Consider the following 13,584-nt stretch of genomic DNA (forward strand, 5'->3'; position numbering starts at 1 on the left):
TACCTCCAGATAGAAGGACCAGGGGACAACTGTACACAGGAAATGCCGGTTACTCTCAGCCTGGTGTGCAGAGACTTCTTTTTTTTTTTCTTGAGACGGAGTCTCGCTCTGCCGCCCAGGCTGGGGTGAAGTGGCGCCATCTCGGCTCATTGCAAGCTCCACCTCCCGGGTTCACACCATTCTCCTGCCTCAGCCTCCCAGGTAGCTGGGACTACAGGCGCCTGCCACCACGCACAGCTAATTTTTTGTATTTTTAGTAGAGACAGGGTTTCACCATGTTAGCCAGGATGGTCTTGATCTCCTGACCTCGTGATCCGCCCGCCTGGGCCTCCCAAAGTGCTGGGATTACAGGCGTGAGCCACCGCGCCCGGCCGGCGTGCAGACTTCTTACGTCTTAAGAGCCTCACTTCACCGGCGAGATACTCTTTTACAACAGAAATCACTTTGCTGCTAGCGTGACAGGCAGAGGATCCGATCGGCTGTGTCCTCCTTTTCTCTCTTTATCTGAGAGATGTGTGTCCATGGCAAGCCGGCTTCCATCCTAACCTGTTGCTCCAAATGCTGTCAAACACACAGACGACTCCCAGGATAAAGGACGGCACACCAAGCTTCTCTTAGGGTGAACACAAAACAACCACTGCCCCCACAAGCCTTTCTCCAAGGGGGCCGCTGTGTTCTGGCAGCCCCCACTCCTCCACCGCACGGCGGCGGGAGGCAGAGTGTAGGGTGAGAGTGCCGGCACAGGAGCAGATGGCTTGGGTTCGAATCCCGGCTCTGCCACTTTGGGTAAATGACTTAGTCTCCCCACACCTCACTCTCTTCAGCTGCAGAATGGTCTGGGGGGCACCTCCCTGCTAGGGTTACTGTGTGGATAGATCGTAGGCACGAAGGGCTTGGAAACATCCCTGGCTCACAGTTAGCACTCACACGTGAATACTTCTCATGTGGGCCCTTCCAGATGCTACTTCAGAAAGTCCATGCCAGGGCAACAGGCCCCGCATGCGGCCCTCACGCTGCAGGGGCGTCAAAGAGGCAGCACTGGACTAGATGGTGATGAGACCATCCTGGTGCCGCCAACCCTGCCAGGGCTGGGACCCAGAGCAGCCCACACACGGTGCATCTCACGCCGGCGAGCAGGTCCCCCCTGACCACGGCGCATCTCACACGGGCGAGCAGGTCCCCCTGACCACGGCGCATCTCACACGGGCGAGCAGGTCCCCCCTGACCACGGCGCATCTCACACGGGCGAGCAGGTCCCCCCGACCATGGAGCATCTCACGCCGGCGAGCAGGTCCCCCCTGACCACGGAGCATCTCACGCCGGCGAGCAGGTCCCCCCGACCACAGAGCATCTCACACGGGCAAGCAGGTCCACCCTGACCACAGCGCATCTCACGCCGGCGAGCAGGTCCACCCTGACCATGGCACATCTCACGCCGGTGAGCAGGTCCACCCTGACAAAGGAAAGGGAGAGCCCAGGAGTGTCCACTTCCAGCAGTGGCTCTGGGTGCGGCAAAGGCACAAACTGGACAAAAGCAGCAATCCTTCTGATTAAACCTGTTCTACATCCTTCCAATTACACCTGCTCTAGGTGGCGCACGGCGGCTCACGTCTGTAATCCCAGCACTTTGGGAGGCCGAGGTGGGCGGATCACCTGAGCTCAGGAGTTGGAGGCCAGCCTGGTCAACATGGTGAAATCTGTCTCTACCAAAAAGGCAAAAATGAGCCGGGTGTGGTGGCGCATGTCTGTAACCCCAGCAACTCAGGAGGCTGCGGCAGGAGAATCGCTTGAACCTGGGAGGCAGAGGTTGCAGTGAGCTGAGATCCCGCCATTGCACTCCAGCCTGGGCGACAGAGAGAGACTCCCTCTCAAAAACAAAACAAAAAACCTGCTCGACACCCTTCCAATTAAACCTGCTCGACATCCTTCCAGTTAAACCCGCCACTTCATCAAGGAAAGAAAGACATTTTCCCGGCTAGCACTGATCTGTGGGCCCTTCTTTTTCAAAATGGGAGATGGCAGAATTTTATACAGAAACAGTCGCTAGTTCCAACCAGAAAGCCCAGAGACACAGGGGAGCCGCTGGTGGCCACACAGGTGAAGCATGAAAGGCTAAGAAATGGAAATGCAGTGCTGCACATGGCCGGGAGCCCGGGTCCGGCTGTGGGCTGCAGTTCCGTGATCCCGGCGGGGAAGGCCACGTGGGTTACTGGGGAGGATGAAGGATGAACACGGGGCCGCGTCTCACATGCAACCCACCTTCGAAGACGCCAACCAGAGGCACCTACGGCACATCCCGAGACACGTGGGGGCCCGTCTCCTCCTCCTTCCAGGAGTCACTCCCCAGGCAACTTGGCTACTAAACTTCCGTTCAGAAAGTGCACCTTCAGGGCAGGGTGCAGTGGCTCATGCCTGTAATCCCAGCACTTTGGGAGGCTGAGGCGGGTGGATCACCTGAGGTCAGGAGTTCAAGACCAGCCCAGCCAATATGGTGAAACCCCCGTCTCTACCAAAAATACAAAAATTAGCTGGGCGTGGTTGCACACGCCTGTAATCTCAGCTGCTCGGGAGGCTGGGGCAGGAGAATTGCTTGAACCTGGGAGGCGGAGGTTGCGGTAAGCCGAGATCGCGCCATTGCACTCCAGCCTGGGCAACAAGAGCAAAATTCCGTCTCAAAAAAAGAAAGGAAAGAAAGAAAGAGAGAAAGAGAGAAAGAGAGAAAGAGAGAAAGAGAGAAAGAGAGAAAGAAAGAAAGAAAGAAAGAAAGAAAGAAAGAAAGAAAGAAAGAAAGAAGGAAGAAAGCAAGCAAGCAAGCTGCACCTTCAGACTGAAGTCAATGAACAACAACAAATAACTGAGGTTAAAATAATGGCCACGAATGAAGAGACAAACACACTGATGTTTACTTCTCACCCTTTCAAATGTGCCGAACGCAAAGTATTTAATGACGCCCGTTGGCTGCTGGCGTGGGGAGTCCGGTTCCCCGACACAGGGAACGCGATCTCATCTGTAACACCAATTAAGGAGGTTCATTGACTGTGCCATTCGACTTCCTGCCCTCATGGCTCCGCGAGCCAGGAGATGAGCAGTTAGCTGGGAGCACAAACGGCATATGGCTGCCAGGCTCTTTCTGGCCGACACCACAGACGGAGGGAAAGGCTGTTTCCCCCATGCTGCAGCTCTCGCAAGCTGACAGAAGGGATTTCCTAAAGCCCCATCTGGTATGAAAGCCTCCACTGGGCAGAGTGGTTTGGGACAGCAAGCGGGTGGCTGGTAATAACAGGCTAGGGCCATATGTGCTCAGGAGAGATCTTAAGAAGCGGCTGGGAGTTTGCATAGGAGGGGGAGTGAGGAGCCAGCGTCGATCTGGAGTCAAAGGGACCCCATCCCAGAGGCAGTCACTTCTAGTGGGGGATAGGGTTTCTGTGGCTTGCAGCCTTGTGGATCTCCCTGCTGACATTACTAGGAAAGAGCTCAGATGTGCCACGCTCACTCTGAGTAGCACCTTTCGACGTGAACGTTGGGACCCTGACCTGCAGCGTCTTTGGGAGATGGGCCATCACACGGGTTCGACCCAGAATGTTAAGTTCATTCACAAAGAGAAACAAATCTGAACGTTTTCACTCCAGATCTTTCCAGAACCCGTGAGACTAAGAAAAAAGAACAAGGAAGAAAGGAGGCATAGGAATGAGGACTCCGTGGAGGGAAAACGGTCATTCCCTGTCGCTTTGGGGAATCTGCTGCAAAAACACGCCTGTCCAGGCCATCATACGTCCCGTCCCGCCCCTCCTTAGCTGGAAGGTGGAGACCAGGCGGTGGAGACCAGGCCATTCTACGTGCCGTCCTGCCTCTCCTTAACTGGAAGGTGGAGACCAGGCCATCATACATCCCGTCCTGCCCTCCTTAGCTGGAAGGTGGAGACCAGGCCATCCTACGTCCCATCCTGCCTCTCCTTAACTGGAAGGTGGGAGACCAGGCCATCCTACGTCCCGTCCCACCCATCCTTAGCTGGAAGGTGGCGGCCAGGCCATCACACGTCCCGTCCTGCCCTCCTTAGCTGGAAGGTGGAGACCAGGCCATCATACGTCCCGTCCTGCCCTCCTTAGCTGGAAGGTGGAGACCAGGCCATCACACGTCCCGTCCTGCCCTCCTTAGCTGGAAGGTGGGAGATGTCACCAGTTCACCCTAACCCCAGCCCATCCACTCCTGTGGCTCGGAACAAGCTATGAGGCGATCGCATGTGAAGGCCAATGAAAGGACTTTGCAAAAAATACAAATATATGGTAGGTTTCTACGTACAAGGTTTCTTTTTTTCTTTTCTTTTTTTTCTTTTTTTTGAGATGGAGTCTCCTTCTGTCACCCAGGCTGGAGTGCAGTGGTGCGATCTTGGCTCACTACAACCTCCGCCTCCCAGGTTCAAGCGATTCTCCTGCCTCAGCCTCCTGAGGAGCTGGGATTACAGGCACCTGCCACCATACCCGGCTAATTTTGGTATTTTTAGTAGAGACAGGGTTTCATCATGTTGCCCAGGCTGGTCTCAAGCTCTTGACCTTGTGATCTGCCCGCCTCGGCCTCCCAAAGTGCTGGGATTACAGGCATGAGCCACTGCACCCAGCCTGTTTTTTTTAATGAAAACAAAAATCCATGCCAAGATGCCTGAAAACAGACCTACCCCCAGGAGACAGGGTCAGTGCAGGTGCCCGAGGACAGGACACCAGGGCTCATCCCAGCACCCCAGAGCTCCAGGCTGATTTTCTAGTAATTTCCAACATAGCACTTGACTGACACGTCCAGCACAGACTCACAGCACGGGAGAGAACTCCTAGGACCAGCTGCTACAGTGAGAAGCTCCAGTGAGAAAGGTCAACTTCATAAACTATGGGAACACGGGAGGTGATCCACTGAATTGAGAGTGAGAGAGAATTCCACCCTTCTAGAGAGAATTCCACCCTTCTAGAGAGAATTCCACCCTTCTAGAATCCTACCATCATCAATCACCCTTACAGACTCAACATCCGAGAGAGAATTCCACCCTTCTAAAATCCTACCATCATCACCCTTAGGGACTCAACATCCAAGAGAGAATTCTACCCTTCTAGAATCCTACCGTCATCACCCTTATGGACTCAACATCCGAGAGAGAATTCCACCCTTCTAGAATCCTACCGTCATCACCTTTAGGGACTCAACATCAGAGAGAGAATTCCACCCTTCTAGAATCCTACCATCATCACCCTTACAGGCTGGACATCCAAAGACCATCTCACCTCTCCCTCATAAGACGAGGCCCTTCAGGGTCTACATCTTAGACCACTTTGTATCTTCAGTGCCTTACACGTGAGAGATACTCAATAAATGGGGATGCTGATGATGACAGTCAGGCCAATCAGCTGGATGCTGATGTGTGCTACCAGCTCCTCACATTTGACCTGGAGACACAGCCTGAGCCATAGGCAGGCGGATATTCCATTTTCACACATTTGTCATGGTTCCTCAGCAGAAAAGAAACCAGGCAAATACGCCGGGTGTGGCGGCTCACGCCTGTAATCCCAACACTTCGGGAGGCCGAGGAGGAGGCCAGGCGGTCAGGAATTTGAGACCAGCCTGGCCAACATGGCAAAACCCCGTCTCTACTAAAAATACAAAAATTAGCCGGGTGTGGTGGCTCATGCCTGTAATCCCAGCTACTCGAGAGGCTGAGGCGGGAGAATTGCTTGGAGGCCAGAGAATCACTTGAGCCTGGGAGGCGGAGGTTGCAGTGAGCCGAGATCACACCACTGCACTCCAGCCTGGGGGACAGAGCGAGACTGCATCTCATAAATAAATAAATAAGGTTTTAAAAATTAGGTGTTAGGAATAATGCTCACAATTTTAAGGAAATTGCCAGGCACGGTGGCTTGTGCCTATAATCCCAGCACTTTGGGAGGCCAAGGCAGGTGGATCACAAGGTCAGGAGTTCAAGACCAGCCTGGCCAAGACAACCCCATCTCTACTAAAATTACTAAAATTAGCTGTGGTGGTGGGCGCCTGTAATCCCAGCTGCTCGGGAGGCTGAGGCAGGGAATTGCGTGAACCCGGGAGGTGGAAGTTGCAGTGAGCCAAGATCGTGCCACTGCACTCCAGCCTGGCGACAGAGAGAAATTGTCTCAAAAAAAAAAAAAAAAAAGAAAAGAAAAAAGAAAAAAAATTTTAAGGAAATTGAACACACGAACAAAGGACTTTTAGCAAAGCAGTTTTATTTTTGCACAGAGGGGTGCCCCTTTGGCCAGTCGCCATGAGAGCACACCTGAACAAAGGGGCACAAAAGCCTTCATTCCTGACACAAGTCCTGCCCCTGTACCCTTTTTTTATTGGCCGGAGTCGGGTCTTATAATATAAACTAATCCCAGTTGGATAAACATTTGATTTTTTTTTAGATAGGGTGGGTACGTTAAAGAAAAGTGGAGGGAAAGGGGAAGGGGTGTCTGTAATGAGCCAGAAAGTTAGTCTTTCTTTAAATAAGGAAAGGAATGTGAGCTGGTACTGATAACGCTTGGTACTGTGGCATGCTGGGCACTTAACAAAGGCGAGAAGGGAAAAGGAGAAAAAAGGAGAAAAATGGTGGGGGTGGAGGGGTACAATGAATTAAAGAATAAAAGATTGATCAGATTATTTGAAGAGAAACCTCATCATATCCCACATAGTCAAATCATCTCGAAACTTTCCGCAGCTTCTGGTAGATGAGGAATGTGACTACGTAGCGCCTACCGCCCCAAATGCTATTATAAATTCCAAGTCGGCAGGGTGAGCTTTTCCGTGTCCGCTCTGCAAAATGAACAGAAGAGCAGGAAGTGTGGTTGGTGGGAACCACGGAGATGTTTGTCATCTCGGCACCGTCCGTACCTGTCCCCCCGCGGAGCCACTAGCACTCGGCACAGCTCCCTTCTCAATTTCCTATTTGATTGTTATTTCACAAGGGCTTTTTTTTTTTCCCTTCTCGGCTGCGTGGAAAGCTCTGTTTCTTGGCAGAACTTTCCAGTGCCCAGTTATAAACCCCGTGTTGATCACTTTCCTGCTTCAGGAAGTCCCCACTGAGCCCTGGGCCAAATGACAAGGAGGGGAGAGGAAATATTTACAATGATGTGAGAAACTCCCAGCCTGGAAAAAGAGATCAAAGAAAAAAGTCAGAAGGGACCGTTCTGCACGGAGCCTGGCACGTGAAGGCTTTCTCTAAATTGGCCTGGACCGGTCCACAGCGGTAATGTCACCTCACTGGGAATCCGGCAAGCCAGGCGTGTCCACAGCTCTGCAAACAGCCTCAGCCCCACTGCCACGGACCAGCCACGTCCACAGCAAAAGGAATCGTGTCCGACACTAAGAAACTGTGACCACCCAGTACCAAAGATGCCTTTATATAGAAACGGACTGTGGCTTGCATTCTTTCCCTCCACCAGCTCCTGAAATGAAAGGGTTCCGTCACACAATGAAATAAGTAACAGCAGGGAGAGAGAGAGAGGGGAGGTAAATTGTTTGGAAAGTAGAAGACAGGGTGGAAAAGATGAAATTCAAGACAGATGTGTGAGACCCGCAAACATATGTCTTTGAATTTATGCATCCAAGTGATTGATGTAGAATAAGAAAAAACAGCTACAAGCCCAATAAAGAAATAAATATAGGAGTAAATACAGAACAAAGTATCACGTTCCCCACTTCTTCCAGACCAACATCAATTCTCGTCTCTCTTTCTGCTACATAAAGTTGTTACAAAACGGGGCGAGTGAAGGATCGAAGATGAAACACTACGAATTAAGCAGAGGTTCTCTGTGGTCCCTGACACCCTCAGGAGGACGTCAACCCCTGACGATTCATTTCCAATTACTGAACGTTGATTTCCTGTTTTGTTTTTTTTTTGAGACGGAGTCCTGCCGTGTCGCCCACGCTGGAGTGCAATGGCACGATCTCGGCTCACTGCAACTTCTGCCTCCTGGCTTCAAGCAATTCTCCTACCTCAGCCTCCTGAGTATCTGGGATTATAGGCACCCACCACCACGCCCGGCTAATTTCTTTGTATTTTTAGGAGAGACAGGGTTTCACCATGTTGGCCAGGGCTGGGCTCAAACTCCTGACCTCAGGTGATCTGCCCGCCTCAGCCTCCCAAAGTGTTGGGATTACAGGCGTGAGCCACTGCGCCCAGCTGATTTCTTGTCTCTAAAAGGTACTGCTACGGCTTAACACGAGCAGGATTTAAAAAATAGTAGCATTTGCCAGGTTCGTGCCTGGTCATTAAGAAAAAATAAAGCAGGAAATTTAGATGGGCGTTTCCATCAAAACACAAAGTCCAAGGCTCTGGCCGGAAAGCCATTTTTACAATGCAGTCAGTATTCGTGCATGTCACTTTACTTCCAAACAGCGAACTCAAAGGGGCCACCACACGATTGGTTCCAAATGCCTCCTACTGAGAGACACAGGCAGCTTGCCTCCTGGTTACCTTCTCTGTTTGCAGATTCAGAAGCTAACAAGAAAGCGGACAGCAGCAGGAATGGCCCTGGATGTCAGATGCATCAGACAGAGAGGCTGAAGTGTGGTCTGAGGACAGATCGCCAGGGGTGGTGGAGATGACGGAGGTTTTTCTGGATAGGCCAAGTACCTATCCACTGCTCAGCAGGACGTCGGCTCCATACCACACATGTGCCTGGTCCTTTTTCATCAATAAACACTTATTGAGCATCTCAAACCTACCAGGCATTTGTGCCAGACGGTATGGGGTCAGATCAAGACAAAGGTCTTCGCCTTCGAGAAAGGAAGGGAGCCTGTCTGGTATGTAACAGGCTCCGGCTTCCTCTCTAGACCCTCCCCTGGGACGGCAGTCCCCACCCCACCCACACCCTTTGTTCCACGGCAGGCAATCATGGTGGGTGTGCACGCTTGATCTAAGACCAATCACGCTCTCTCCTGGAAGTTCAGAAAGTGGATACAAAGACGGATTCACTAAGACCAGAGCTTCCCAGCTGGGCGCAGTGGCTCACGCCTGTAATCCCAGCACTTTGGGAGGCCGAGACAGGTGGGTCACCTGAGGTCAGGAGTTAGAGACCACCCTGGCAAACAGGGTGAAATCTCATCTCTACTAAAAATACAAAAATTAGCTGGGCGTGGTGGCAGGTACCTGTAATCCCAGCTACTCAGGAGGCTGAGGCAGAAGAATTGCTTGAACCTGGGAGGCGGAGGTTGCAGTGAGCTGAGATCGCACCACTGCACTCCATCCTGGACGACAGACAAAAAAAAAAGATGGGAGCTTCCCAACCAGCGTGCTAGGAGCAGGCTCCAGGAGGGCACCGCACTGGCCCTCTCAGCCTCAGGGGCCGCTGGACTCCCTCTTCCCTCCCTCCACGTCCTTGTCCTCTGGCGGCCAGCTGCCTCATCCCTTTACCTCCGCAGACAAGCAATCATCATTTCCTAAACGTGGCAGGATGCAGAGCAGGTAGAGGAGTGCTGAAGAGCTGACAGTGGAGGTGAGAACCATAAACTCACGTCAAGGGCAGGCAGGGGTCGCCTTGCTGGGCCAGGGACAGCAGAGAGAAATGGAGCTGACGGAGAGGAGGACAGATAAGGAGGGGCAGGAGAGACACCAGAGTCAGAGAGGAGCGAACGAGAGAAGCTGCAGAGCCCCCAAGGAGCCCGAGAGCGACCTGCTCCTGAAACCCCAGGCTGGTCCCTCCGCATCCCAGCTGGGTGCCGTTCCTGCATCTGGAGGCCCCTGTGATGAAGGACTGTGTTCGGAGAGTCTAACTCAATCCACCTAAGGCAGCTGGAGTCCATTTCTGCTCCTCGTAAACAACTCCTAACTAAGACAGGTACGTGGGTCTGTGTGTGTGCGTGGAGAGTCCAAGCACATCACTAAATCCTCACTGCTTAGAACGCCAGAAAAAGAAAAGCAAAATCACCTGACGGACGCTCTCAGCCCTTTCAAATCCCTTTCTCACGGATCATTCTTCTGTCTTCCCCACGAGCCCCAGGGCCTGGGGAGGAGACACCTGCTCCTGCTCCCACGAGGTACGAGGTACGCAGAGGAAGGAGCAAGATGATGCCTTCAGACAAGGGAGCAAATGAGCTTCCCGGACCTCCTGCTTCCTGCAGCCAGCAGCCCATTTCTTAAGTGGGAGCCTAAGATACACAAACGTTTCACATGTGTGTGGACATGAGAAAAGTCAGTCCACTGCTCCGACCTGTGGGTCCAAGGAAGGTGGCCGTGAGCAAACTCACAAACTTGCCAAGAAATGCCATTTTGTGAGTTCCCAAAGTAGGGCTCTTCCTCTGGGAAGGTTTTGCAAGCTCACTGTCTCCAGTGGGGCTGGGGGGCACCCAGTTTTGCTCACTCGCTCTCTCCAGGGGGGCGGCGTGGGGGCCCCGGGAGCTGAGTCAGGAGGGACGAAGGCGGGAGGTTTCTTCTGCAGACAAGATGAATGGCCACACGTCCCTTAGAGCACACTCCCGAGGTAGAATCACACACATGATATTCAGAAGCAGGCACAGTACATCTTCCCCAACTTTAGTTTTCAAAGGCAGTTCAATGAGGGGGCTGCCGTTGGCGGACACTCCCCGGCCAGGTGTGTGCTGGTTCCAGATGCCGCCAGTGCCACAGAACCAAGACGGGCAGAGGGTGGAGTTTCTGAGGCGGCAACGAGACTTGACCTTCTCCTCCAGGACAGAAACGTCCCAGTGAATCAGACCCGGACGATGCCACTACTCACTTGCTTAGGAAACTTAAAACTGCTGAGGCCTTCGGAACAGAAACCACACACAAACAGCTTCTCCGTCGGGAGCACAGCTTCCTGGGACAGGCTGACCGCTTTAAAGAGCATGATAATCCTGTCAACGTTTAGCAGAACCGAACTGCTAAACATCAACACGTTTCAACCTGGTCTCCAGACCACCCAGAGAAAGGTCTGTGTCCAAAAGCCGGGGGATGCGGTGGGGAGGCCGGGGCCCAGCAAGCCTGAGCTCCGCTTGCCACTTGGCTCCAGCTCCACCCAAAGTTCCCCGGCTGAAATGAAGACGCCAGGACAAAAGACAGCGCAAGCCTCTGCCTGCTCCCAGGGGCAGCCTTGGGCTGCAGACGGGAGAGAAGATGCTTAGAAGGCATGAGCGGGGGACGGGAAGCAGAGGGGCTGAGGGGCTACAGAATGAATCTGAGGTCACTGTGTCCGCCGGCCACAAGAAAGGGCAGGTGGAAAGAGCAGGGTGGCAAAGTCAGCCAGGCTGGGAACATCCCTTCACCTCTTTGAGAAGCTACTTCCGCTGCACACTGGGAGAAACCAGTGCTTGCCTCATAGGCTTGCTATGATGAAGCCAGATGTGAAATCCAGATGGCTGCTCCCAGCACCCAGTTTCCAAGCTCAGGCGTCCACATGTATCATTTACAATTTGCGCCCTCCTCACTCCGATGCTTATTTACTTATTTTGCTTTGAATAGACTCCTTCAAAAAATTATTTTGAAAGGAAACTTTATATTGCTATTGTAAGTGGAGAACCAGCACCACTCGCCATAAATAGAGGCTAAGTGTCAAAATGAAAAGAACAAAGAACAAGCCATTATTACAAGTGATCTGTCTCGCGTTGCCTGCGGAAAGCGGAGGTCGGCTTTCTCTATGGAAGGGAGATTAGCAAGTTTTCCAGTGGTTTAAAGATGGCGCCACAGCGAGACTTTCTCCTGATCTAACCAGAGACTTGAAATGGAGAGTGGAAAAAGCTGGAAAAAGCACGCTGTAGCTCAATTAGGGGCGCCAGTCTCAGGAACGGCCCTGCCACCCTAATCCCTCAGGTCCTGTGCCAACGGAGGCAGCAGTGAGAAAAGGGAGCTAGAATCCTGTGGCCCTGGCTTATCCCTGCATGCCGGCCAAGGCCCCGCAGCCTCTAGAAGGCTCTTGGCCAAACAGCAATCCCTGCTGGCTTAGTCCCAGCTCTTCTGCCATCCGGGGGCATCCGGATGACACCTCCTCACAAGTCCCATCAGCGAGAACCTGCCTCAGCCACAGCCTCAGCCTCAGCCTCAGCCACAGCCTCAGTCGGGGCGTCTCCAGCAGGGAACCTCATTAAGCTCCCCACTGACCAGGACGTGGGCCACAGGATCCCTGGGACCCCCCGTGCCCACAGCTGGCATCTTGCTCCCCAAACTCAACCCTGTTTTCTCTCTCCTTTCTACCTCCAGAAAAAGTCAGGATGGATTATGTAGACAGACTTGCCTCTGAATGTCCATACTGACGTCCAGAAAATTTCAGGGGAGGGGAAAAAAGAAAACCCAACACTTCCTTTCCTTTCCAGCTCCCAGAGCTCCGAGTTGGTGTTGGATTTGGATACGGGGCTCCTGGAAGCGGATATGGAGCAGAAAGTAGGGCTGGGTGGGTGGAGGAGGGAGGCAGGACCCCCGTCTGCTCTCTGAGTCAGCCCGGGCTATAGAGTGGGGCCAGGTCCCCCTGCACGGTTGGGATTATGCGTATGCCAAGCCTAACCGTCCTGTCCTTACAAAGGAGGCCTGGAGCTCCCTCCAGCACAAATCGCAAATTGGGAAGAAAGAGCTTGACCAGAAGTGTTTAATGCAGCATTTCCTCAGGACCACTGTTTCCCCAGGATGCCTATTTCCCCAGGACACCTCAGAGTCCCAGGGACTCATGCAGATTTCCAGGCCCCACCTCTGACCCACTGGATCTGACCCAGGGGATGAGACCTAAAGTGTAAATTTTTTCTTTTTTTTTTTGAGACAGAGTCTCACTTTATCACCCAGGCTGGAGTGCAATGGCGCAATCTCAGCTCACTGCAAGCTCCACCCCCTGGGTTCAAGCGATTCTCCTGCTTCAGCCTCCTGAGTAGTTGGGACCACAGGCGCCCACCACCATGCCCGGCTAAAAACATAAATGTTAAGAAAATTCCCAGCCGGGCACGGTGGCTCACGCCTGGAATCCCGGTACTTTGGGAGGCGTGGATCACCTGAGGTCAGGAGTTTGAGACCAGCCTGGCCAGCACGGTGAAACCTCGTCTCTACCAAAAATACAAAAATTAGCCGGGTGTGGTGGTGCACGCACGCCTGTAGTCCCAGCTACTCGGGAGGTGGAGGCAGGAGAATCGCTTGAACCTGGGAGGCGCATGTTACAGTGAGCCGAGATCACGCCACTGCCTTCTAACCTGGCTGACAGAGTGAGACTCTGCCTAAAAGAAAAAAGAAAGCTCTCAGGTAACTCAGGCCCACTGAAGTCTCTTTCCCACAGGGTGTCCCTCTGTCCTTACTGTGTGTCCCTCGCCCCAGCTAATTCTTCCTCACCCTGCAGATATGAGGTCAAACATCAGCTCTTCGGGGGAGCCTTCTCTGCCCAGGACCTCCCTCCCAAGTTTAGACCAGGTGCTGTATACATGTCCAAGCCCTAGTACTCTTCCTTTACAGTACTTCTCACTATTTCTGTTATACACATATATATATATATATATATATTTTTTTTTTTTTTTCCAAGACGGAGTCTCACTCTGTCGCCCAGGCTGGAGTGCAGTGGTGCGATCTCGGCTCACTGCAACCTCTGCCTCCCCGGGTTCAAGTGATTCTCCTGCCCCAGCCTCCCA

At 52.9% G+C, this 13,584-nt stretch overlaps 1 protein-coding gene and 1 long non-coding RNA gene across 7 annotated transcripts in view, besides 6 other annotated features; both read right to left on the reverse strand.

Annotated features, from left to right (window-relative positions):
• The window catches only part of NXN (nucleoredoxin), a 180,467-nt gene that overhangs the window by 40,956 nt on the left and 125,927 nt on the right, over positions 1–13,584 (reverse strand). The gene's annotated exons all lie outside the window — the stretch shown is intronic.
• Positions 738–1,251: an enhancer, noted in NCBI's record as "H3K27ac-H3K4me1 hESC enhancer chr17:744243-744756 (GRCh37/hg19 assembly coordinates)". NCBI's record gives its function as "activates a minimal SCP1, AML or CMV promoter by ChIP-STARR-seq in primed H9 embryonic stem cells {active_cell/tissue: H9 hESC(primed)}" and the evidence as "EXISTENCE:reporter gene assay evidence [ECO:0000049][PMID:30033119]".
• Positions 738–1,278: a biological region, named in NCBI's record as "Sharpr-MPRA regulatory region 9814".
• Positions 984–1,278: a silencer, noted in NCBI's record as "tiled region #9814; HepG2 Repressive non-DNase unmatched - State 19:H4K20, and K562 Repressive non-DNase unmatched - State 21:Repr". NCBI's record gives its function as "represses a minimal TATA promoter and a strong SV40 promoter by Sharpr-MPRA in HepG2 and K562 cells {active_cell/tissue: HepG2 | K562}" and the evidence as "EXISTENCE:reporter gene assay evidence [ECO:0000049][PMID:27701403]".
• Positions 2,548–3,533: an enhancer, noted in NCBI's record as "H3K4me1 hESC enhancer chr17:746053-747038 (GRCh37/hg19 assembly coordinates)". NCBI's record gives its function as "activates a minimal SCP1, AML or CMV promoter by ChIP-STARR-seq in naive H9 embryonic stem cells {active_cell/tissue: H9 hESC(naive)}" and the evidence as "EXISTENCE:reporter gene assay evidence [ECO:0000049][PMID:30033119]".
• On the reverse strand, positions 6,220–12,755 carry LOC124903894 (uncharacterized). Its single transcript, XR_007065574.1, has 2 exons — positions 9,921–12,755; positions 6,220–6,804 (listed from the first exon to the last, which is right to left on the reverse strand). It is a non-coding gene; the product is annotated as an uncharacterized LOC124903894 (long non-coding RNA).
• Positions 10,163–10,737: an enhancer, noted in NCBI's record as "H3K4me1 hESC enhancer chr17:753668-754242 (GRCh37/hg19 assembly coordinates)". NCBI's record gives its function as "activates a minimal SCP1, AML or CMV promoter by ChIP-STARR-seq in naive H9 embryonic stem cells {active_cell/tissue: H9 hESC(naive)}" and the evidence as "EXISTENCE:reporter gene assay evidence [ECO:0000049][PMID:30033119]".
• Positions 11,393–11,893: an enhancer, noted in NCBI's record as "H3K4me1 hESC enhancer chr17:754898-755398 (GRCh37/hg19 assembly coordinates)". NCBI's record gives its function as "activates a minimal SCP1, AML or CMV promoter by ChIP-STARR-seq in primed H9 embryonic stem cells {active_cell/tissue: H9 hESC(primed)}" and the evidence as "EXISTENCE:reporter gene assay evidence [ECO:0000049][PMID:30033119]".

Source organism: Homo sapiens, chromosome 17 (genome assembly GCF_000001405.40).
Source record: "Homo sapiens chromosome 17, GRCh38.p14 Primary Assembly".
Classification (NCBI taxonomy): Eukaryota; Metazoa; Chordata; class Mammalia; order Primates; family Hominidae; genus Homo; species Homo sapiens.